The sequence below is a fragment of the Homo sapiens genome, chromosome 16 (genome assembly GCF_000001405.40).
Source record: "Homo sapiens chromosome 16, GRCh38.p14 Primary Assembly".
NCBI classification, from domain to species: Eukaryota; Metazoa; Chordata; class Mammalia; order Primates; family Hominidae; genus Homo; species Homo sapiens.
The window spans coordinates 35,239,862-35,264,792 of record NC_000016.10 but is presented as its reverse complement, the minus strand read 5'-3'; the positions used below and the strand labels follow the sequence as shown (position 1 = coordinate 35,264,792).

The following is a 24,931-nucleotide window of genomic DNA, read 5'->3' as shown; positions in this document are numbered from 1 at the left end:
TATTGTACCTTTTTGGTTATTGGGAAACAAATATATTTTGACTCTCAAGAAAAAGGTACTTGGTGGCACACTAAAGAATGAGTCAATGAGTTTACAAAACACAAGAGGCAGGGTACAGTTGCTCCAAAGTGACACAAAACAACATTATGATTTTGCTTTGGTTTGAAGAGAAACAAAATGTTTTCACTCAAGTTTTAAGTGCCAAAATAGCTAATTACTGTTAAAATGTCATCAACGCTAGTACCATTACTCAGAAATCAACTATTTCCAACAGAAAAAAATATTTAGTTACCTTTTACAAGAACTATATTGTAACTTTCATTTTAAGGGTATTATATTGCCTCAGTATTACAACAAACCTCTTTATTAGATTTAAATTTAACTAATTCTAACCCAACCCAAATTAAAAACTGCTCACATTTAAGAGCAAGAAATACTATTGCACATTACACTTATATGTGAAGAATGTGTGCTTCCTCCCATGCCCCCCAAACTGAATTATATTCTATGAATTACATTCCATTATCTGAATTTATAACACTTAAAGTTCTTATGCTCTTCCCCCTAACAAATACATTAATATACTTGTAGCCTCAAAATACTTCATGAACTCTGAAGTGAATCTCTATGGTGGGAGCTTCCTTTGTGAAATAAATTTGGCTAGTCACATGCAAACCAATATCCCCAAGTATCTAAACAAATTTATTTTGCTCCTTTCCAATATACTCAATAGTGGGAATGCTGGATGGTATGGTAGTTCCATTTTTAGGTTTTTGCTTTTTGTTTTTTGTTTTGTTTTTATTTTCGTTTTAAGAAACCTGCATAGTTTTCCATGCACGTTTCTAAGAGATGAATAAATCTGAAAATGGACTAAATTTACATTCGCATCAACAGTGCATAAGTGTTCCCTTTTCTCCACATCCTCATTCAACCTTGTTATCTTTCGTCTTTTTCATAATTCTACATGGGGCGAGGTGCTATCTCACGTTATTCTGGATTGCATTTTCCAGATGATTGGTGATGTTGAGCATTTCTTTGTGTCTTCTTTGGAAAAATGTCTATTCAGGTCTTTTGCTCACTCTTCAGTTGGGTTTTTTTTTATTTTTATTGCTGCTGAGTTGAGTCTCATGTAATTTGGATATTAATTCCTTGGCAAATGCACGCACATATTTTCTTTTCTAGATTGTCCTTTCACTCTGTTAATAAATTTCTATGCTGTCCAGAAGCTTTTAATATTTTACTGATATTAATTTTTCTGTTTTCTGACTTGATAGAGAGGTAAGAGTTGGCCCTCAGCTTCATAGGTTATCTGTCTTCTATCTCACTACTTTTAGGAGTTTTTTTCTTTTTGATGCCTTGCATTTTGATCATTATTCTTTTAAGATTTATTTTATATATAATGATACATAATAATTGTACATATTTATGGGGTGCAGTGTGATATTTCAATGCATTCATACACTGTACAATGACCTAATCAGGGTAATTTGCATATCTAGCACTTTAAACATTTATCTGTGCTAATAAAAACCTCTCTACTAGCTGTGTTGGAATAAACAGTGCTGAGACCAGCTGTGTCATGGAGACCCTAACCCAGTGGCGCTAGAGGAATTAAAGAAACACACACAGAAATCTAGAGCTCGGAGTGGGAATCAGGGGCTGACAGCCTTCAGAGCTGAGAGCCACAAACAGAGTTTTACACACATATTTATTGACAGCAAGCCAGTGATAAACACTGTTTCTATAGATTATAGATTAACTAAAACATGAGACAAGGGGATGGGCTCTGGCTAGTTATCCGCAGCAGGAACATGTCCCTGAGGCACAGATAGCTCATGCTATTTTTTGTGGTTCAGGAACACCTTAAGCGGTTTTCCACCCCGGGTGGGCCAGGTGTTCCTTGCCTTCATTCTGGTAAGCCAACAGCCTTCAGCGTGAGTGTCATAGCCATCACAAGCATGTCACAGTGCTGCAGAGATTTTGTTTATGGCCAGATTTGGGGCCTGTTTATGGCCAGATTTGGGAGCCTGTTTCCAACAGAATAGTACATTATTATTAGCTATAGTCACCCTACTATGTAATAGAACACCAGAATTTATTCTCTCTAACTGTAACTTTGGAACTTTGACAATCCTCTCCCCATCCCTTCATTCCTTCACTCTCCCTAGCCTCTGGTAACCACCATTCTACCCTCTACTTCTATGAGATCAATTTTTTAAGATTTCACATATGAGTGACATCATGTGGTCTTTTTCTTTCTGTGACTGGCTTTTTCACTTAACATAATGTCCTCTAGATACATCCATGTTAACATGAATGATAGCTCATTCTGTTTTATTACTGAACATTATTCGTGTGTGTGTGTGTGTGTGTGTGTGTGTAACATTTTCTTCATTCATCTGTAGATGGGCACTTATACACTATTGGTGAGAGTGTAAATTGGTACAAACATTAGGGAAAACAGCATGGAGGTTTTTCAAGAAATTATAAAAAGAACTACCATATACATGACCCAGAAATCTCACCACTGGTTATATGTCAAAAGGAAATGAAATCAATCTTCAGAAAGATAATTGGACTCCCATGTTTATTAAAGCACCATTCACAATAACCAAAACCATTCTTTAAGTATTTTTTATCTTTTTTGACACATTACACACTAAACTTTAATAGGATTCATGTCTTGTTTCCAATTTCTGAAACTTATGAGTCACCAATCCTTTCAATATTGCCTTCCTGTTTATATAATCTAGTAAAACAATTAAATCATTTTTGTTTCTTCTCATCTAATCTTCATATAAATATTTGTATTTTGTATTAATTTGCACTCTATAAAGTATATGACTACGTTAATTGTGCTCAACATTTCAGTGTAGTAGACTGCTCATCAGCTCAGTCTATTTTAATGTGTAATTTGTATGCTGTACATTAAATTGTTTTACTATATTTTCAATAGTTTACTTTTCATTTGCCTCTTTTCCAAATATGACTGGACAAGCTCATAGTTTTTTCCCACAGTATTTTGGTTTCATGTTTTTTTATTATGTTGGCAAACATTTAAATATAAACCTTATATCTGAGTTTTATGTGCTGTATAATTTATCTAAGGCTTCACACTAGTAGTGTATCTCCTTTTGTGCAATGTAATTCATAATTTAGTTCTCACATATGGAACACAGCATACTTGGGATGCCTGAAGGCAGTTTACCTGGATTTATTCCATATGCCTCCTCAGAAGCTGAGCAACACACATGGATCTGACATCCTTCTGATCAGATGCATCTGAATGGAGCAATGGCCTCTTAGGTTGTTACTTCTGTGGATCATTACCTTTATTTTCTTCTGGTCATGAAAAGTTTCCATAATTTTCTTTCAACTATATTAGGCATTTTGTGAATTCTTGTAACTTCTTGGTGATTTTAGTATCTGCATTAAGTTTTTAAAGCATGTTGTTTTCCTAAGAAGCAGAAATGTCAACAGTTGCATACATGAGTAAAATATTTTACATAGATTTTCTATGGCTTAGATCATCCCCTCATGAGAAATTCCATGTTTCTTCATTTGAAATACTGCTCTCTTCCATAGACCATATTGTAATAATGTAGCAGGACAACCTGCCGACAAAACCCCTCAGACACCTAGTTAAAGAAGAAAGGGCTTTATTCAGCTGGGATCATCAGCAAGACTCATGTCTCCAAAAACTGAACTCCCCAAGTGAGCAATTCCCGTCCCTTTTAAGGGCTTACAACTCTAAGGGGGTCTGCATGAGAGGGTCATGATCGATTGAGCAAGCAGGGGGTACATGACTGGGGGGCTGCATGCACCAGTAATCAGAACTGAACAGAACAGGACAGGGATTTTCACAATGCTTTTCCATACAATGTCTGAAACCTATCGATAACATAACCGATTAGGTCAGGGGTCAATCTTTAACCAGGCCCAGGGTGCAGCAACGAGCTGTCTGCCTGTGGATTTCATTTCTTCCTTTTAGTTTTTACTTCTTCTTTCTTTGGGGGCAGAAATTGGGCATAAGACAATATGAGGGGTTGTCTCCTCCCTTAATAATTCACAGAATGTGATTCCTTTTTTACCATTAGAAAATTAATTATGTATTATGCACGAATTTCTGAAATACTGCACTGCAGTAAATAGTATATGGTTACAATTATTGTTTCATTTAACATAAAACTAATATGAGCAAAATTATTTACCTGAATTAAGATCTTTTGGCTTCGATTACCATTCTACCTCATTAGCACTTCCCTACCTCCATAAAAGGCATCATTTGAATTTTTTGTTTAATTTAGAATTGTTCAAAAGAGGATTTTTTAATGTTATAATGTTTTTATTGCAATTGAGGACATTTTCAATAAATATCCTAAACTTAAGGCCTTGGCTAAGTATTTCTTTTGTACTAGAAATCAGATTTCTCTGGCACAACTCCACTGCCTGCAATAATATTTATGAAAACTACAAATGCCAGCACACTATTTCAACACTGTACTCAGTTGTTCATATCTAAATATCTCATTAGCTATGAAACAAGCCAAATATAAATGCTGAATATATAGCACAAATAAACAGATTCTTCACAGAAGACAACAATAACAGACTAATTTTCTACAATATGTCACCTGTTCATTAGTTCTTCAATAATATTATTTAGGCTGTTTCAAGTACAAGAAGTTCTTTTATCTAGGTTCTAAAGGGCATAAACGAAGATGCATATAGTCAGATTTATTTTTATAAACTACTTTTTTTTTGCTGTACGCCTTACCGTGACTATAAGGAGACAAAGACAAATGTACATTTAAGTTATTAGTTGTTATATGTGTTTTGCATATATGACTTTTTGCTTATATTGAAGTTGTAAATGACAAGATAAAATAATGAAGTTTGATAAACTTATCTGTGCCCTGTAAATTTTAGTCCACTTACTGTATAACTTGATTCAGTCATTATTTATTAGTTTAACAGCTGGTTTTAAAAAGCTGCAAACTAAACTTTATTACACATTTCAAAATCAGGAAGAGGTAAACTGTGACAGAGTTCCCTTGTGCCACAGACTTTTTTGGGGAGAAATGTTCCACAAAAAATAAAATAAAATAAGTGTTTCCAAATTGTATTTTTTAAAAAGCTTGAGATTTTTTCTATCATTAAACTTCACTCTACAGTCCCTTTTACTCAAGGCATGGTTCCTGGGTCATCTTTTCAAGGTTTAGTTTCTGGGAACTTTTCAGCAAACCTTTCTCATGCTTTGTCCCAGTTTTTTGTTGTTGTTGTTGTTTGTTTGTTTTGTTTCGGAGAAGGTGAACATCTTCAATTGAGGATGGATTTCCTGTCTCCGAGCCTATGTGTGTTGGTGAACTTGACACTAAATTGGAGTTTTCATTCCCCCATCATCTTCCTCAGTCCATCTCCTTTTTTCCAACCCATCTTCTTCAACGTCTTCTGACCTTTGTTGCTGTCAGTAATTTCAGAATGAATAGATGCAGAAGCATCATCTTTTTGGAAAGTTCCTTCACTTCCAATCTTCTCACTACATTTTCCAGCTCTATTTTTATATTTTGGAAGCTTTAGTGTCTATTCATCTTCATAGTCTGTATTCTGTAAACCATATTTTACTCACATTTTTAAAATTATTTTCTTATTTCCAAATCTTTTTCTTCTTAGTGTTGGACCAACAAACATTCACCTTTCTTATCAAGGTGAAAGTGAGCTCTGACCTGCTGTGGGTCACAGCCATCACAGGTATCACTGCCAGGGTGAATGCGAAAGGGTAACACAGTCTCTCCAATTTTCATTTCATGTCTATGTATGCTCAAGTATGTAAGGGTCACATTTAGCTTTCACTTGAACAATCCGTTTTTCACTAACAATTGTTCCATTTTGACCGTCCTGATCTACAAGGACATAAGTTTGCTAGTCATGGTCAAATTTCTGCCTGAAACTTACAGACACCAACTTCAGGGATTCAAAGAAAGAGTATGCTCTAGATCATTTTCTCTTCCAATTGTAGCCGGTTTTACAGCAGTAATAATAAACAGTGACCCCGTATACAACACAGGTGATCTAATGGCAATTACCCTAATACATGGGGGCCAATGTTTTGTCTTATTTTCCTCCTCAGTGTCTTCTGCATTACATTGTCTTCACTGGTAATGTGAGTAGGGGCTGTGCTGGGGCCCTAAAGGACGTCTGCGGAGCCAGAGGCCACGGGAATGCCAGCGACAAAAGCCAGCCTGGCCATGGCTGGCTGCTGTGGCCCTCACAAGGAGGCCCTGACACGCGTTACCTGGAGCCATACAGGGTTGTGAGCAATGAGCAAGGGGAATGCTGATGGCCCTGCCCGAGCTGCAGGGCCTGGAAACCAGAAAACTCCTGGGAACTATGACATCTTCCCCAGCTGGAGGAACAGCAGGAGGAGTGTTGCAGAAGTCAAGGGGCCAGAAGCTCTTGGGCCGTTCCTGGGTTGAGCCAGAAATGGCGGCCAAGAGAGTTTTCAATAAAGTTTACATGTGGCTAGATATGACCTGCTGATTACTCTTAATTTTTTTCACATTTATTGAGCTATGATTTACACATTGAAAAGTGTATATATTTAGGGTATATATAATAGAGTGCTTTGAGGTGTGTATACATCTTTAAATTATCTCAGTGAAGCTGGTTAATCTATCCCCTCACATACTTTATACATTTCTTTGTGTGTGATGAAAGCACTTTAGATCTAATTTTGTAACAAATTTCAACTACACGTTGTTATTAAATATAGTCACCATTCTGCACATTAGGTCCCCAGCAGTTTTTCATTATATAACTGAAGGTATGCTGCTTTCAATGGTATCTCCCCACTTTTCCCCACTTTCTAGCCTGTGGTAACTACCATTCTATTGTTTCTTTTTTTTTTTTTTTTTTAGATTCCACATGCGAGATCATGCAGTATTTGTCTTTCTGTATTTGGCATATTTCACTTAGCATAATGTCTTCAAGATTCATCAATATTGTCATAAGTGAAAGAATTTCATTATTAAAGCTGAAATTATCTCTCTCTCACAGTTTATCCATTTGTTTGTATCAGAGGAGTGCAGATACCCTTGGCGATACTGATTTTATGTCCTTTGGCTATATATTCTGAATTGGGATTAAGGGTAGATCAAGTTTAAAAATGTTAAGGAATCTCCATACTGTTTTTTTATAATGGCTGCACCAATGGACATGCTCAGCAACTGTCTACAAGTATCCTATTTTCTTTGCACCCTAACACATTTTATCTTGTAACTTTTTGATAATAGCTATCCTAAAACCATGATAAGGTTATATCTTACTATGATTTTCATTGTAATTACTCTTATAATTAGTAATGTTGAGAATCTTTTTATATACCTGCTGGCCATTTGTATGTCTTTGGAAAAAATGGCTATTTAGATATTTTCCCCAATTAATCAGGGAATTGGCTTGTGTTTCGTTCTCCTGTGAAGGTTTTTTTTTTCTTCATATTGAGTAGTATTAAATATATTTTGGATAGCAACATATTATCCTACATATGGTTTACAAATATTTTCTCCCATCCCATATATTGCCTTTATATTTTGTTGATTGTTTCCTTTATTGTGCAGAAACTTTTTCCTTTGATATAGTTCCACATTTTAATTTTTGCTTTTGTTGCTTGTCTTCTTTGTGTTGAATCCAAAACATCATTGCCACGACTAGTGTTAAGGAGCACTTTTCCTATTTTTTTATAGAGGATTCATGATTTCAGTTCTTATGTTTAAGTCTTTATTTTAAACTCATTTTTGTGGTGGTATAAGAGAAAGGTTCACTTTTTGTGTATGCATATCTAGTTTTTCCCACACCATTTCTTGATGTGTCTATCTTTTCCTAATTATGTGAGATCACTCGACTGAATATGTATGACTTTATTTCTGGGTCCTCTATTCTGTTCCATTGGTTTTTATGTAGATACCATAGTACTTTGATGACTATAGCTCTGTAACATAGTTTGAAATCAGGAAGTTTGAGGCTTTCAGCCTTTTTGTTCCTATCAGTGTTTGGCTATTTAGGGTATTGTGTGGCTCCATATAAATTTTACAATTGTTTGTTCTACATTTATTTTAATGGCATTAAAATTTTGATAGGAAGTTATTTAACTCTGCAGAAGAGTTTGTGTAGTACAGGTATTTTAACAATATTAATTTTTCGAATCCATGAACACAGTATATATTTCTCATTTTGTATTCTTCAATTTGTTTCATCAACATTTTAGTTTTCAGTATGCAGATCTTTAATATTCTTTGTTAAACTCATTCTATGTAATAAATTACATATTTCTTTCTATTTGATGTTGTAAATGGAATTATTTTTATTCCTTTTTTCAGATATTTTGTTGTTACTGTATCAAAATACAACTGATTTTCATGTTAATATTGTATCCTGCAACTCTACTGAATTAGTTTGTTATCTATAACAGGGTTTTGTTGTTGTTGTTGTTGTTGTTGTTGTCGGTAAAATGGTGGGCATTCTTAACCCTGGATACATTTTAAATTGATAGTTGCTATTATCATTTCATAATTCTTTAAATCTGACCAGATGGGTTTCTGCCGTCATGAATTCAGTGGAATTCAAATGTTCCACTAAAAATAATTGTGTGGGTTTTGCCTGCCCTCTGGGATGGGCGGCGCCCCGAGGGAGCCAGGAGATTCAGGACGGGGAGGGAGAAGCGCTCAAGGAAGAGGCTAAGCAGGGGAGGCAGAGAGGGGGTCAGGAACAGCAGCAAGGAGAGGGGTCGTGTCAGACCCAGTGGGGACAGAGAACGCGCCAGAAAAGAGATGAAGGGTGGGAGTGAGCAACAGGACTGCTTCCCCGCCAGGGCAGTGGGCAGGGAAATTTGCTAAAACTGCAAGCCCCAGTGAACAGTGCGGGCAGGGTGGGAGGGAGTGGAGAGGACCAGGAGGATCCTAAGGTCAATTGGGAGAAAGGGACATTTCCCGGTTCCTTCACCTCTGCCCAGAGTTTTGCGGGCATGGCAGGCACCCCCAGGGGCAGAGCAGGGGAGAATGCGGCTCCCGGCGGGCTCGGAGAGCTGAGAGGCGCACACCCGTTTCACAGGGCCGGGGTGGTGGCATAAGCAAGCGATGGCTGCGGATCCCGCTGACCCCGCGGGTGGGAGCGGAGGGCGTGGGCGGGGCCGAGCTCAGGGGGCCCAGCGCAATGGTCTCCAAGTAGCCCTGGAGGTAGCCACCCGCTCATGCAGTGGCCTTCCGGGAGAACAGTATGGAAGGCACGGTGGACACGCCCTTCCCAGCTGGAACATTCGTGAGCCTGGAATTTAAGCTGGGGCAGAAAAGCGGCAGGAAGAAGGATTGGAAGAAACCCGAGCGCAAAGTCCAGCCCAAGGGGAGGAAGCGGAAATGCCTGGCCTGAGTCAAACTGGGTTCTGAGGAGAAGGTTCCGGCACTGATAGTAAGTATCCTATAGAGACGGCGGCTTGGCGGGAGCCTAAGGAGCACCAGGGACCCAGTACAGCTGGGGGGAGTGGGAGGTGAGGACCCCACAGCTACTGCTTCCCTGTACAGTTCGTCTTCTCCAAGGCCCGGCCCCCAGCTGAGCCCAGCACTGCATGGCGCCTCCTGGACCACTGTCGCGGGTGACCAGTGGAAGACCCCACCTCCCAGGGAGAGAACCCCACTATATCCCCAGCTAATACAGCTGCTTCTCCTACCAAAAATAAATAAAAATGAATTAAATTTTTGTTCGGTCTTTGAAAATGGTGTGTATCCTCTATATACTGGTCAACATGCTGCCATTTATCTACATGCCTAATTAGTCAAACTTTTGAAAGAAGTTATTTAACGTTATGATCCTTTATTATGACACAAAATAGTAAACTTTGTAATGGTTTTAATATCATCTAATATGATTAAAATATGTCAATTTGTCATTGCCAATGAATCTTTGTGTTACTTATTTTACACTGTTAAATATTCTGTCTACAAATGTCTAATGGCTTACAATCTTGCCTAACATATTGTATCTGCTAAGTACTAACTACTCTAATTCAACAAATTTTCTTTTTACACCATTCTTAAAATACAATATCATTTTGTATTTATTTTTATTAAAATTATTTTTCTGCATAATCTAAATATTTATGAAAATTATGTGGTCTATGCAGTCTGCCCTCTTGATGAAAGTCAGGGTCTTTTTCTCTTTATTAGTATGTTAGTACAAATGCAGTTTCATTACAGGAACATGTTGTACAGTGATGAAGTATGGGCTTTTGTGTAACAATCATCTGAATGGTACTCATTGTCCCAATTAGGTATTTTCTCATTCCTAAACCCTCTACCAACCTCCCATCTTTCTGAGTCTCCAGTGTGTATTCTTCCAGTCTCTATATCCAAGTGTATGTATTATTGAGCTACCACTTATAAGTGGGAAACTTCAGTATTTGATTTTCTGTTTCTGAGTTATTTCACTTACAATAATGGCCTCCAGTTCCATTCATGTGGCTGCAAAAGATGATTTTATTCTTTCTGACTGAGTAGTATTCCATGGTATAAATGTATAGTCAGTCATTGATAAATTTCAATTGATTGATAAATTTAAATTGAAGATATGCTATCTTTGCTACTGTCAATAGTGCTTCAATAAACATATGAGTGTGGGTATCTTCTTTACATAATGAATTATTTTCCTTTAAGTAGATACCCAATAGTGGGAGTGCTGGATCAAATGGAAATTCTATTTAGTTTTCTGAAAAATCTCTGTATGCTTGCCAATATCTATCCTTTTTCTGCTTTGTAATAATTAGCCATTATGAAAGTGTAAAATGTGATTGTAAAAAATTGTACAAAATTTCATTGTGATTTTTAATTAGCATTTCTCTGATCATTGGCAATGTTGAACATTTTTTACATGCTTGTTGACCGTCATTGGTCAACAAGCCTTCCAGGTTCACGCCATTCTCCTGCCTCAGCCTCCCGAGTAGATGGGACTACAGGTGCCAGCCACCACCCCCGGCTAATTTTTGGTATTTTTAGTAGAGACGGGGTTTCACTCTGTTAGCCAGGATGGTCTCAATCTCCTGACCTCGTGATCCGCCCGCCTTGGCCTCCTGAAGTGCTGGGATTACAGGCGTGAACCACCACGCCTGGCCTCATGTAATCTTACTTTAGGAGAAACTGCTTCTAATTTTAGGCATTTGTTCATAGCAGGTGCTACATGAACCAATGCCAAATTAGCATTGTTTTTAGGGTAATAAATCTACATATCTACAGTGAGAACTACTCACTGTACAGGATTTTGTCTTCTGACCAATGACATGATTCTGTCTTTCGTAGGCTACTCCAAAACTTCTATAATGATGGTAGAGTTCAGTGAAGTGGAGCCTCAGGCCTGCCATCCCCATGCTTCTGGCAAGCAGCAGCATCTCCCCTGAGCATGGTGGCATAGGGCATGCCATTAAAAACACCTTGCTGCTGTTCATCTCCACATACTAAGTTGCTGTACACTTTGCAGTGGAATTCCATCTTGCTGCGTCTGGTTGGCCAGAAGCCCTACAGGTAGAATGGGATGGTCAGGAGAGCACATTGAGAGAATAAATGGGAGCTTAGAGGTTGCCCACCTTGCTGCCCCTGCCCATGGGTCACAGCCCTCACCTGGCTGTCCAGCTTGTATGTCTACTGAAGGCTGCTGAACTTGTTCTCCATCACAGAGGTGGTGTGACAGCAGTCTGAGGGCACCACACTCCATGACCGGGCTCTAATGCTGGTGCCACAGCTCCAGGTGAGCTGTGGGAAGGCAGGTGAGCCAAAGACAGGTCCCGCCTTCCACATCCAGGCCACACTCCCACCAACTTCCAGGCCCACCTCGATATTCTGATGTGATGCTCTTTTCAATGTTCTTCTCATTACCTGAGAAAATTTTATATTATTATATCATAAATATGATAAATACTATGACATCAAATTATGACATCATAATTCATATGTATTTATAACATCAAAATATATTATGATAAATATGATAAATATAAAGATGATATGACATCACAATATATTACAGTATAATTCATGTAACATCACATAATTCATATAACATCACAATATATTATGACATCATAAACACTATGTATTGTGACATCATTGTATATTACGATGTTATAATATGCATCCACTGTGACATCACAATATATCATGATGCCATGATGTGCTTGTATTAAGACATCACAATATATTATGATGTCATCATGAGTAGATATTATGACATCACACCATATTATGACATCGTAATTCGTATGTGTTGTGACATCACTATAATTATGACTTAACAATTCATATGTGTTATGACATCACAATATATCATGACATCATAATTTATATGTATTATGATGAATTCATGTTACATAATTTGCACATAATATGATGTATTACAAATTATTATGTAATTCATATGTATTACATGTGTATTAGATTGCTCTGGATGCCCTGGGCTCTGGGGGGCAGGCTGGGGGTGGGAGCAGGCACCCAGGTTGCAGAGGGAGTGATTGGGGCACAGGGCCCTGGGGTTCCAGGAGCAGTAAAGAGGTCAGGACAGGCCTGTGGGGACTTAGATGTTGGCTCTGGGTGAGATTGTTACTGCAGATGTGAGCACACCAGTGATCGGGGGCTCAGGTGACTGCCGTGGGGCAGATGGACAGAGGGGTTAAGGCACAAGGAGACAAAAGCTATAGCACAGCAGGAGGGGAGGGTGGCTGTGGGGGCAGTAAAAGGGGTGCCAACAGCAGTTTTGGTGGATGGGCAGTGGGTGTGAGAGAGCAGGCACGGGGATAATGCCCAGGCATTCTGGCCTGGAACAGTGGCAGGTGGACTTTGCCCAGCTGCGGAAGGGTCTGTCAGGGAGATAGGGCTTCTGATTTCAGAGGAGACCAGAGGTGTGCTCATGCAGATGAAGGTCCTCATGGGATGGACATGGAAGGGGCAGCTACAACCTGGGGACAAATGGTGGTGGGCTGAGCCCCTGGGACTTCTGGAGTGAGGAGGCAAGAACGTGAGGAGGAGCCAGGCAGGGAGCCAGAGGCAGAGGGTAAAGAGTAAAGTAGAGCCCAGGAAAGGGGCAGATCCAGCAAGTAGATGAAAATTTCCCCTCACCTGCCCCGTTGGCCTCTGTCCCTGCCCACACGCCCTAGTGCCCTCGCCCTGAGTCTCTGCTTGCTCTGCCTACCTGGCCATCCCAGACAGGTGTGGGGTAACTGTGAGGGTAACTGAAGGGCCACTTTCAGAAGGCACAGTCTAGAAGTGAACAGCATTGAGTCACTGTCGTCTCCCAGTCCTGGGAAGAGCCTCTGCCACAACCCGCTGAGCTGTCTTCATCACCAACGGGTCTCCTTCCCCCACCCCTGGAGGTCCAGAGGACAGCTCAGAGCTGTGATTGGTGCCTCTTCCCAGTGTCTCTCTACACTGCTCCTGCCTGTGCCTCAGCATCCTCCTCTGAGAGGTGGGCCTGTCGCTGCACGTGAATGGCGAGCAGGTCACTGTGGGGAAGGGCCTCCTCCTTCCTCTTTCCTGGGCTCCTGGTGCCTGTCTCCTGGGGGTATGGCAATCTAGCCTACCCATGAGTCCAGGCAAAAAGGCAGCCCTACTCCAGCCCCCAGAAAGAAGAAAAACTAGTTGAGCTTTCGGGGGAGGAATGGTGAAAGCCTGCACACTAGGACAAAAAAGAGTTGAGGCCTCCAGGAGGCCATGCTTACTGGTGCCTGCTGGGCCCTGGAGCTGTGCAGGAGGTGGCTTAGGGACTCAGAGACTTGTGGGCCAAGGCTTCTCAGCTGCTTCTGAGGCTCCCAGCTCTGCAAGGGGCTGGGTTTGCCCTCCTGGTAAAGTGCTCCCAATGCCTGTCCTGGCTTGTTCACTTAGCTGGGCTACCTGCTGGGCCTCCGTCTTCGTGGGAGCTCCCATTGTGCCTCTCTGGGTGGGTGGGGGCTCCTCTGGAAACTCTCTTCTTCCCCGAGGCTTTCAGTCCAGGATGAAGCACCCCAACTTCTCAGCAGGAGTAGCCACTGGGGGAAGCAGAGGGAATGGGATGGGACACTTGGCCCAACTCTGAGCATGACTGGGCAGGGACATTGTGTTGTAGCTCCTGGGAGCCTCATGGAGTGCAGGAAGAGGTCCTTGAAAGGCCAACACTCTACCTACACAGAAGGGAAAACTGAGGCTGGGGGTGGGCAGGGCGACCTTGAATTGGGGGTCTGGTCAGATGGGTCTCTGCTCCTCACCTCAGGAGCTATGGCCTTCATGTGCACTTCCACCAGCAGAGGCACCTTACTGGACTTGGCCCCAGTGGATGGACAGGAAACTTCCAGCGATGGTGGCCACCCAAACCAACTTTCACTGCCTGGCTCCTGGCAACCCCACCCTCTCCATCTTCTGGCTCCCATTTATCTGCTTTTTATTTTCAGGAAATTGTGGGCACCAGCTCAGGAGAGGCAGCAGGAGCCACCACTCAAATTTCTGGTCTCCTTTAATTAATTCTGTGAGAGAGGATTCTAGGGTGAGGGCAAACCTGGATGAGGTCTTAGGAGAGGATGGATCTGGGCAGAGCTGCGACAGAAAGTGGGCCTCATGCGTCTGACGTCTATGATGGTGGAGTATTTCCAGTTCTGTCTTTCCTAAGTCTGCCCAATGGAAACTTGACTCCTTGAGTTTGTGTGATTTTAATCTATTTTAGCCATTTCCCTGTTAGTTTTTATAACACACAATTACAAGGAATTTAACCAAACTCTTAGGGTTTTTTTAGGAAAATTATATGAGAAGCTAAAAAAATTATTTTTACTAAGGTAAAAGAAACAGGAATAATCACAACAATAGCAATAATTCTTCTGTCCATGAATAGCCTTTCTGGTGGTAACATTAGAACTCACAACAACAGCCTGAGGGAAGTGGAACAAATGCAGCCAAAGTCCCCTCTACACCTCCCTTCTCTCTTCTGACTACAGAATGTTGAATTCAATCATTTAGCCATTTGCTCTGGAATGAAAGTATCTGGACAGTAGAAACCATGAATGTTTCATCTGTTTTTCTAATGGTCATATGATATAGTTTAGATGTTTGTTCCAAATCTCATATTGAATTTTAATCCCTAATGTTACAGGTGGGGCCTGATGGAAGGTGGTTGAATTACAGGGATGGATTTCTCATAGCTCTCTGCTGTCCTTGTCATGGTAATTACCCACGAGAGCTGGTGGTTCAAAGTGAGATGTATCTCTCCCCCATCTTTCTTTCTCCCACTCTTACCACATGAGATGCCTGCTCCTCTTTCATCTTTCACCATGATTGTAAGCTTCTTTATATGTTAGTTGTTACAAAATTTAACTCAATATTTTCATAAAATTACCTGACAAAACTTTGTTATCATATCATAAATATGATGTTATATAATCACAATATAGTATATCATTTGTGTCATGACATCACAATATATCATAATCTATATATTATAACGATATATTATGACATAATTAGTACATATTATGATGTCACAATATATTATGACATCAAAATTCATATATTATGATATCACAATAGATTGTAACATCATAATTTGTATGTATTATGACATAAGACTATATTAGGACATAATTTGTATGTCTTATCATAATAACATATAAAACTGTGTTAGGTAATTTTATAAGACAATTGAGTTAAATTTTGTAACAACATTAACATATAAATTTAATGGAACTTAAGAACATTATCTGCTCTTGTGTAAATAACTGCTTTATGATATTATGATAAAATAATATATCAAAATTTGTTTATATGTCAAATAAATTTTATATGATATTATGGTATCAATGTATAATGCTATTATAAGTTCCATTTAAATCTTATTTAAATTCAGACAGTTTTGTTAGGCAGTGTCCATATGTCTACCATCTGATATTTTTTTGGGTTGCACTATTTGCATAGACGGCACAGCTGGGGAAACACAGACTCACCCAGGACAGGCTCTTCCCTGAATCTTTCCCCTCCTCAGGGAATCAGTTCTTCCATCAACCAAGTCATTTTAGAGTGGAGGCCGAGTAGTCTCTGACATAAAAGGTCTCATTTCAGCATCCTTTTCTCAGAAGAGGGAAAAACAAGAAGGTCCTTTTAGGTGACACTTGCTGGGACATACACTAAACCTTCTATGGTTTGAGAGCTCTAACCAGCAGATACAGACTTCACAGTAGGAAGGGATGAGGCAGCTGTCCTGATCCTGGAGCTCCACCATACCTTGTCCCATCTCGTGTAAGCAATTTTTAGAGGCTGCTCTGGAATATCTCGATGGTGGATGTTAGGAAACCACACAGGCTTTGGTGGGACTCAGGTGGTGTCTGTTGTGTGAGTATAGGAGCTGAATGCTCAGGATCTAGGCTGTTTTTCTTGTGGTCAGTTGGGTTACCTGTTTGGGACCAAGTCCATTTTTACTAGGGAGGTTGAATAAATACTACAGAAAAAAGTGGAGCTCCTAGGATGACTGAGGAAGGGTGACAAATAGGGAAGTTTCTCTCTCCACCTAGACTTTTTGCTACCTCAGGAATCAGGGGCTGATTAAGTTAGCATCAGCTCTAATCTAATCAATTCAATTCCATTGTATTTGATCTAACTATCATCCCTATCGTTAAGGTAGAAAGGGCCATTTTATTTGGTATTTACTTTTCTCTATATTTTTATTTTATAATATATGTTTGTATCTAATACAATCAACCATAATTTTAATTTGACATTTCCAAGCATTTGAGAAATTATAATATCCATGTACATGATTTTAACATTATGTAAAATTTTCTTTCTTTGCAAAATATATGACACATTTCAATATAAGTATGTTTAATTCTGCATCTTGAAAAATAAGCAGTAACTTAATTACTACCAGGTAGGAATTGGGACAGAAATTAGAATAAATGATTCCCTTATCTTCTGATTCCTGTGCCCCGGCTTTGTTTTTTTGTTTTGTTTTGTTTTTTAGGGTTTTTTTTTTTGGACACTATGATAAGACCCAGAAAATGTCTCCCCTTAACTTTGTTTAGGTCCCTAGTAAAACTATATGGCATGAAACTTTTCTAATTGAGGCCCTAATGAGTAGCAGGAAAAAGAAAACTATTCAGCCAATAACAGTAAGACATGGCCAGCTGACGGGCATATAAAAGGCAGGCCAGCAGGATAACACATAGTCTGAATCTGGACGTGTAAGACAGAGCATGTTTCACTTGAGCTTGAACACGGGAAAAGGAAATGAAGACCCTGATTCCCCACTGCTCCTCCATCCAGTGCCCCACTGACCAGCCTTCTTTCCAACAGATCTCCTTTACAGAAAAGGGCTCAGGTGAAGAGATTATTCAAAGAAAAAGGCAAGACCCCTTCCTCCCATTCCAGTGAGGAGCACATGCAAAGGCAGGGTATGGCCTTGGGCTGTTCCTATGGAGGCTGGAAGGAGGTTTGGAATCAGGGATACTGAAGTATGGTCTTTGGTGGGGTTTTATTTTGAAATTGGAAATGGGAAATGGCTTACATTCCCGAGGACACTTTGAGAAATGTATTCACTCATGACAGTGGCAGAAGAACTTCACTTGAAAGACTGATCCACAAATACTTGTCAGAGACAGATTATGGGACTCTGTGCCTGGAAGAGTTGAGTCACCTAAACTCCATGTTGTGCTAGGATCAAAGCCAAATGAGGAGAAGAATTCTGAATAAACTAAGCTCAAAGACAGAAACAGCACAGCTAGATCTGGTAAAATTAGACTCTTTGAAGGTAAAAAGAGATGGCAGCAACACCGTTTCCCCTGGCAAGGAAACTGGGAGCTCTTTGGCAGCCAGGGCCTTAGAGATCCTGGACTTTGGAGAACAGAGCAGAGCTTGGTTTGGTGGCAACTTCAGCTCCTGTGTGTTCAGGATGAACTAAGTCTTAGGGTGTTTGGTTGGAGGCACTAACTCAAACTCTCGTTTTATCAACAGATCAACAGAACCGGAGTCGAGCTCACATGAGGGAAACTCCAAGAAAAGGAAAATCAGTTCCAAGGACGGCTGCCAAGACAGAGCAAGTAGAATTTTTTTTTTTTTTTTTGCCCCAAAGGGCAAACAAATAGGAGACTTTTATACAGGGCTGGAACAGCAAGGAGGCTTCTTAGAGACTGGGAAATTTCTTGAGATCCTGGCACTTAGAGAATATGTGGGGACTCAAAAGAGGTTAAGCTTCACTTCATTAAAGTGCTGAGATGGTCAGGATGGAGAAGAGACAAATGAAGTTCACCTGAAGGTGCAAGGGAGGTTGTGGAAATGAGGGTCTGTGGGCACTTTTCTGGAGAGTCTCTCGCTCACATGCTTCCTCTGCAGGGACCTGTCCAGGAGAGGAGCGCAGCTTGATGTTGAAAAGGAAACTAAAGTCCTCCACCCCTGTGCACAGCAGTGAAATCCAGGAGACCTGTGAGGCCCACCACAGAAGGCCTTTCATGGCTCACACTGGGTGCAACAAGCGGCACAGGCCTCAGGCTCCAGGAGTTCAATAGCCGTCACTTCAGAAAGCTTCGTGACTTTGCAAGGTAGGTCAAAGGCCATTTATCAAGACCTACTCCAGGTGTTGGTGCAGCAGGTCCATTCTCCACTGACCTGGGAGCAGCTCACTCGGCTTGCTTGGCTCTTGGGACCTCTGTGCGCTCAAGTGCAGACATTCTATATTATGGCCACCCAGGCAGGTTATGTCTTTCCTGCTAAGAAATGGCTTGCCTCAGCCACACTCCTGGCCCTGGGGATCCAGCCATGGATAGAGAAGCCCACCCCTTGCCTGGGCAGGAGATAACTGAGCCTCTCAGTGGATCAGATGAGGCTTGAGCTGGCTGCACCCACACCCTATTCAGCAGAGAATGCAGCTCTTGGAATGAGAATAATAACCTGCTACTTCTCAGATTCTTCCAGATAAGCAACAATGACAATTTTAGATGCACTATGTTAATACATGACAAAACCTGAAGCAGTCATAGGAAAGGGACTTGAACAACATACTCAAAATGGTGAAACCTGCATTTTGTAGAGGGCTAAGATTCTAAACAAATTTTATATTTCTTGTTAGACGTTTGATGTCTTTTGGATGTCTGAAAAAGTCTTGCATTTCTGTATTATCAAACAAATATTGGAATGTAATCATTCATATGCCTTTGCATATTTTAAATTGTAGAAAAATAAATATAAAATTATATTCTTCTCTTTTAATTTAGAAAAGGTTGTAACCTCTCACTCTCCCACGCTGAATCCATGGAGGACTAATATCCACAAACCTTTAATAGTACTCCCTATGAAAAAATGTCAATATATTTTTATAGTTTAATAAAATTATGGTGAAATCACTACACAAGGTGTTTACTATTAATATTTTTTACATAAATTGAAGTCAAGATATGTTAAATGTAATTGATTATACTTATTTATTCTTCACCCAACTCACATTTGCTTCATTGTAAATTTTCTAAATTTAAACTTTCTTCTATTTTATACATTTCAGTTGATCGTACTGTATTGTAGGACATTAAATGTAATATATTGTCATTTATTTCACATATTGCTATATTTATATTTTTCTTCTTGAATTTTACAGTGAGATGAAATCTTTCATCATCTAAATGTACTTTTGTTCTTTGCCTGATAATTTTCATACACATAATGATACAAACATTAATGTTTTTGAGAATATTCAATTTTAGATAATTTTGTATTTCATCCATACTGAACTTGTATTTACTCTATGTGTGAGTTATGGGCCTTTTTATATTCACTTCTTCTTTATTTTCATCCTGACCTCTCCACACTCCACAGCTCTTGTTTTAGTCGAAGAATAGTGATTTATCATTCCAGTAAATGGAGCCAATTCAATGAAAATATACAAATATACCTTGGAGATATCTAGTTTTGCTCTAGAGCAGTGCAATAAGACAAATATCACAATAATGTGAGTCACACAGCTTTTCTTGTTTCTCAGTGCATATAAAAGAGATATTTACACTGTACTGTAGAATAAGACTGAAACAGACTAGGTTTACAATAACAATGTATATACCTTAATAAAAAATGTACTTTATTGATAAAAATGCTGACAAAGATACACACACACACACAGATCACATGGTGTTGGAAAAAATATTGTTGACAGAGTCACTGAAGGTAAGGTTGCCAAAACCCCTCAATTTGTAAGAAATCCAACACTTGGGAAGCACAATAAATTGCAATAAGACAAGGTATGCCTTGTAACAGTCAATGTTCACTAGTAATATACTTAGAAATCACACATAAAAGATATTACATGTGTATAAAAGTAATTAACAAGTTACAGAATGGGTAGGAGATAAAAATTACAAAATGATTTACGAGGTAAATTAAAAGGGAGACCAAGCCTGAAACATTCCTGAGCAGACAGAATCAGTTAGACCTTTTCGGTGACCTCATCTTGTTGACTTGCAAACAAGCAAAACATAATGTGAGCTATTTTTGTGAATACCTGTATTAAAAATCAACAATAACAGAACTTAAGTTTATCAGAAGTACCCAAGAAGGTATAGTAATATATGTCTATAAGGTAAACCAAAAAAGACAGTTTTTTAACTGCAACTAATCAAATAACTTTAATATTTTCCTTCTGCATATTTTCAATACAATCTTACCTCTGACACTTTGTCATTTAAATGCTAAACCTTTTTTGGTCTCATGTTCCACAATTCATTAGTTGCTTCCTACTCAAGAAAATGTTTTTTGAAACAGATTCCTGCTCTGTCGCCCATGCTGGAATGCATAGACAGAATCGGAGCTCTCTGAAGCCTTACATCCTGAGCTCAAGCCATCCTCCCACCTTACCCCATGAGTAGCTACAAGTACAGGAATGGACCTCTACACCCAGCTAATTTCTTCTTATTTTTTCATAGAGATAGGGTCTTACTATGTTTCCCAGGCTGGCCTCAAACTCCTGGGCTCAAGTAATCTCTCACCTTGGCCTCTCAAAGTGCTGGAATCACAGATATAAGCCATCATTCCCAGCCAATAAAACTTTTAAAATTTGTATTGTGCTACAGTTTACTTTTTAACAGTACAAAGTAAAATAAACTAGCCATACATAAATCTAACAAAAATTTGTAAAAAGTATGAGAAAGATCATAAAAAGTTTTTGAAATATGAGAAAATCAGCATAAAAAAGTGGAAAACCACATCATGTTCTAAGATAGAAAAACTCAATATTACTCAATCATCAATTTGTTACAAGTAGTTCAAAAATTTAATTTTGTCCCAATAGACATACCATCTGGTGGAGAAAGCAGGCATTTTATTGCAGAACTCCTATAGATGAAAACACAAATAAGAACAGCTGAGAACACTTTGAAAAAAATAATTAGAGTGGCTATTACACTCTATGAGACAAGTTGATTAATGAATATATGGATAGCTCAGTGGAAGTATAAATTCAAAAATAAACCACAGTACATGAGAAAGTGTCTTTGTTCAGGCTGCTAAAACAAAGTACATTAGACTGGGTCATGTATAAATAACAGAAATGTATTGGTCACAGTTCTGGAAGCTGGAAAGTTCAAGATCAAAGCACCAGCAAATTCAGTGTCTGGTGAGGGTCCCATTTCTCATAAATGATGCCTTCTTGCTGTGTCTGCACATGGCAGAAGGGACAAGGGTGCTCGCTTCAACCTTTATTACAGGGTATTAATTACATTAACGAGGATGAAGCCCTCCTGAGTTAGTCACATCCCAAAAAGCTCCATGTTTTAAAACTATCACATTAGGGATTAAACTTTTACAAATGAGTTTTTAGAAGGAGACACAAATTCAGATCATAGCAAAACGTAAATTGGCAATAAAAACTACAGCTGGGGAGCCATCATTAATGATTTGGGTTTAGGAATCTGATGTTTCTATCATAAAGGTAAAAAATCATGTAGTAATTATAACCTGCAATAAAATGAAGGTCAAATGAAAGATAAATCTATACTGAAAAAAAAAAACAAGTTTTTACAAGGTGAATTCTTACAGGTTGTATCAGGATTTTTGTGGTTTCTGGGGATAAATAAGACCCCAGATTTTTCTCCTGTGACTTTTTTACTGATGTTTATGACACTCTTACTCAATTTCAAAGTGGAAAATTATCCTTTCTGTTTCTGTCTATGAGAAATTCAAAATAAAATTGGCCTCCATATGCTGGATCCTAAAACAATTATTCACTCAGTGGTGCTCTGCTGAGGAAGGGCACTGAATCTCACACGCACAGAAACAGCATGTTCTGTCAGATACAGGACTTCTCCTTGAGGCAGAGCCTCATCACTCATACATAATCAGAGGTTTTCCCAGGCATGCACTGCTCTGCGCCCTCCCACACAGGCTCAGCCCTGAGCATCTGACCCTGAAGGTGACTGATGAACATGTTCCCTGGCACTCTAATTTACAGGGATTTTGTTTTCTCTTAATGATCCCTTCCAGAGCTCTAGGGTCTTTCCTGAGTCCAGCTACCACATACAGATAGAGACTGAGAGATTTGGACAGAAGCTTTGATCCTCACTCTGAGCCCTGCCCTGTCCCATCAGCTTTTCTAGAAGTACAATGTTCTAATTACTCCTGAGAGACCACATATCAGGGCATCTCTCTGTGCCAATAGTTGAATAAAAGTGAGAAGAGAAACAGGCAAGAATTTCTGCTGAGGGCTGCATCTAATGGTCTACTTGCCAGACTTATATTTCTATTTTACACAAATATTGGCAAATATAATTTCATCTCTAGATTAAAAATTAAAGAAGGAACCACAGAGTAATGAGAAAATGGAATCAATGCTCTATAGAATGCAGCTTACCTCAGCCATGGAGTGCTAAGTCTCTCAGAAAAAAGCAATTGTTCTCTATCATCAGAAACAAGTGTGGCCTCAGACAGCTGGACACTGAGAGTGCAGGATGCTCCCTGGGATTCCATGCCTATATCACAGAGGGATGGAATTCCTAAGAGAGGCTGAACCCACAGGTCCTGTTCTACCATTTGGTCTAACTAATACTCTTCCTCCTTCTGCCCCAACAGGATTCCCCAACTCTTCCCTGGGTCTCACTAGGGATAGTTCAGAAAGACAAAAAGTTATTAATGTCCCTCCATTTCTGTAGTTGCTGGGGTCTAATTTGTTCATTTTTAGGTTTTGGGTTTTTGTCCTCCATCTACATTCACAGAATTTGTGTGCCCTATTCCAGTACCTATAATTTTAAGTAGGTCTAGTCACCCATGCTGTCTTGTAGTCATTTTTTTTTTCTAGTAGAGCCAGATGATATGGACACAAGAACTTCTATATAAAAGTTCACCATAAGTAAGTTGGGTACCACAACCCCTCTATGGGCTGGACTGCCATTCAGAGAATCTAGCAACAAGATTTTCCTGGTGTGCAGTTGAGGAAAAGAAAGGCACATCTCGTCCAGTAATGGTCAGTGAGAAATCTCAAATTTTGAAAATGGATGCCTATAGACTTCAATTATGTTCTCTTCATCTTGGAGTCAGTCAAGAAGAGATTTCGGGGTTCTGAGGGGACAGTCACATTCAATCAACAAATTAGCCAACATTTGTGGAACAAGAGAAAAAAAGAAAGTAAAATCAAATAGTTTGGCCACGTTAATAGATTTAGTGATAAAAGCTATAATGTGATTAAAATGCAAGTAGTCTCAAAAGCCTAAAGGTTACACGAATGAGCTTCAAGGGACATATGGTGTGGCTGGAGTCAGCTGACTATTATGCTAAAGATGTCAATAGTGATGAGACATGATTGATACCTCAGGAGGTAGGCCAAAGGCCAGTGCCATTATCATGCTGGGAATGGTCTGGGGCCTTCTGAACCATGAGACAAATAGGTCAACTTGCAACAAGAAACACAAGCCTGGCATGCAGTGATGACCTCTGCATTACACATGGATTCAGGCTTGGTTTTTGGCTTAACTGTGGTTAGTATTTTCAGCGAACAGACCCTTACAGTGGACTCCTAAATGAATGACCTGACAGATCAGCAGCTGAAATTCTTTCTGATTTGAAGCCAAAAAAGGATGTCCTTACTCAAATAGCCTTTAGTTTCAATGTGAAAGACCAAACAGTTAGAACATGGGCAATGACCCACAAACCTGAGCTCTTACCATTAAGTGGAACAACCACCCCTGCTTCAGGTTCTGTGTGGTTGGCACTAAATTTAGACATCCATAGCAGCCCAGCGAGCACCAAAAGGTGGCAGCTTTCTTGACTTGTCAGGGGATTAGGGCCAGGCATTTAGGAAATATTTAGTGAATTGAAGACCCCATAGAGCCAGCAGTTTTGCTTCAAACAGTGGAGGGGGCGTATTCGTTCGTTTTCACACTGCTGATAAAGACATATCCAAGACTGGGCAATTTACAAAAAAAGACGTTTAATAGACTCACAGTTCCACATGGCTGGGGAGGTCTCACAATTATGGCAGAAGGTGAAAGGCATATCTCACATGGTGGCAGACAAAAGGAGAGAGAATGAAAGTAAAGTAAAGTAAAGCAAAAGGGGTTTCTCCTTATAAAACAACCAGATCTCTTGAGACTTATTCATTACCTTGAGAACAGTATGGGGAAACTGCCCCCATGATTCAATTATTTCTCACAGGGTCGCTCCCACCACACTTGGGAATTACAGGAGCTAAAATTCAATATGAGATTTGGGTGGGGACACAGCCAATCCATATCAAGGAGCATAAAATTTTCACCAAAGAACATATATTTTTTTTTACAGCTAATGTTCCTGTGGCAGCCCAATTTTCTCTTAGAATGTGTTGTATTCTAAGTAGCCTTCTGATGTCTTATAGAACTCAAATTTACTCAGTTCAATATTGGAATATCAAGCTGGGAAACCCCAAGCCCTTGATCTGTCAGGAT

General features: G+C 39.5%; 2 long non-coding RNA genes and 4 pseudogenes across 3 annotated transcripts in view; 2 read left to right on the top strand and 4 right to left on the bottom strand.

Moving 5' to 3' along the window:
• On the bottom strand, positions 597-730 carry C2orf69P5 (chromosome 2 open reading frame 69 pseudogene 5; annotated as a pseudogene).
• On the bottom strand, positions 5,012-6,164 carry AGGF1P8 (angiogenic factor with G-patch and FHA domains 1 pseudogene 8; annotated as a pseudogene).
• RARRES2P6 (retinoic acid receptor responder 2 pseudogene 6) lies at positions 9,160-9,601 on the top strand (annotated as a pseudogene).
• Positions 10,506-11,912, bottom strand: LOC124903769 (uncharacterized). Its single transcript, XR_007065192.1, has 2 exons — positions 11,658-11,912; positions 10,506-11,555 (listed from the first exon to the last, which is right to left on the bottom strand). It is a non-coding gene; the product is annotated as an uncharacterized LOC124903769 (long non-coding RNA).
• A 5,324-nt stretch (positions 11,913-17,236) lies between these two features.
• FRG2JP (FSHD region gene 2 family member J, pseudogene) lies at positions 17,237-19,100 on the top strand (annotated as a pseudogene).
• A 982-nt stretch (positions 19,101-20,082) lies between these two features.
• LOC105371200 (uncharacterized) overlaps positions 20,083-24,931 on the bottom strand; it is a 36,762-nt gene continuing 31,913 nt past the window's right edge. Inside the window, exons 3-5 of one of the 2 annotated variants that reach the window (NR_188628.1) lie at positions 22,867-22,984; positions 21,316-21,353; positions 20,083-20,523 (exon numbers count right to left, since the gene is read on the bottom strand). This is a non-coding gene — a long non-coding RNA (uncharacterized LOC105371200). The remainder of the gene's footprint in view (positions 20,524-21,315; positions 21,354-22,866; positions 22,985-24,931) is intronic. The other variant, NR_188627.1, reaches the window with a different exon arrangement.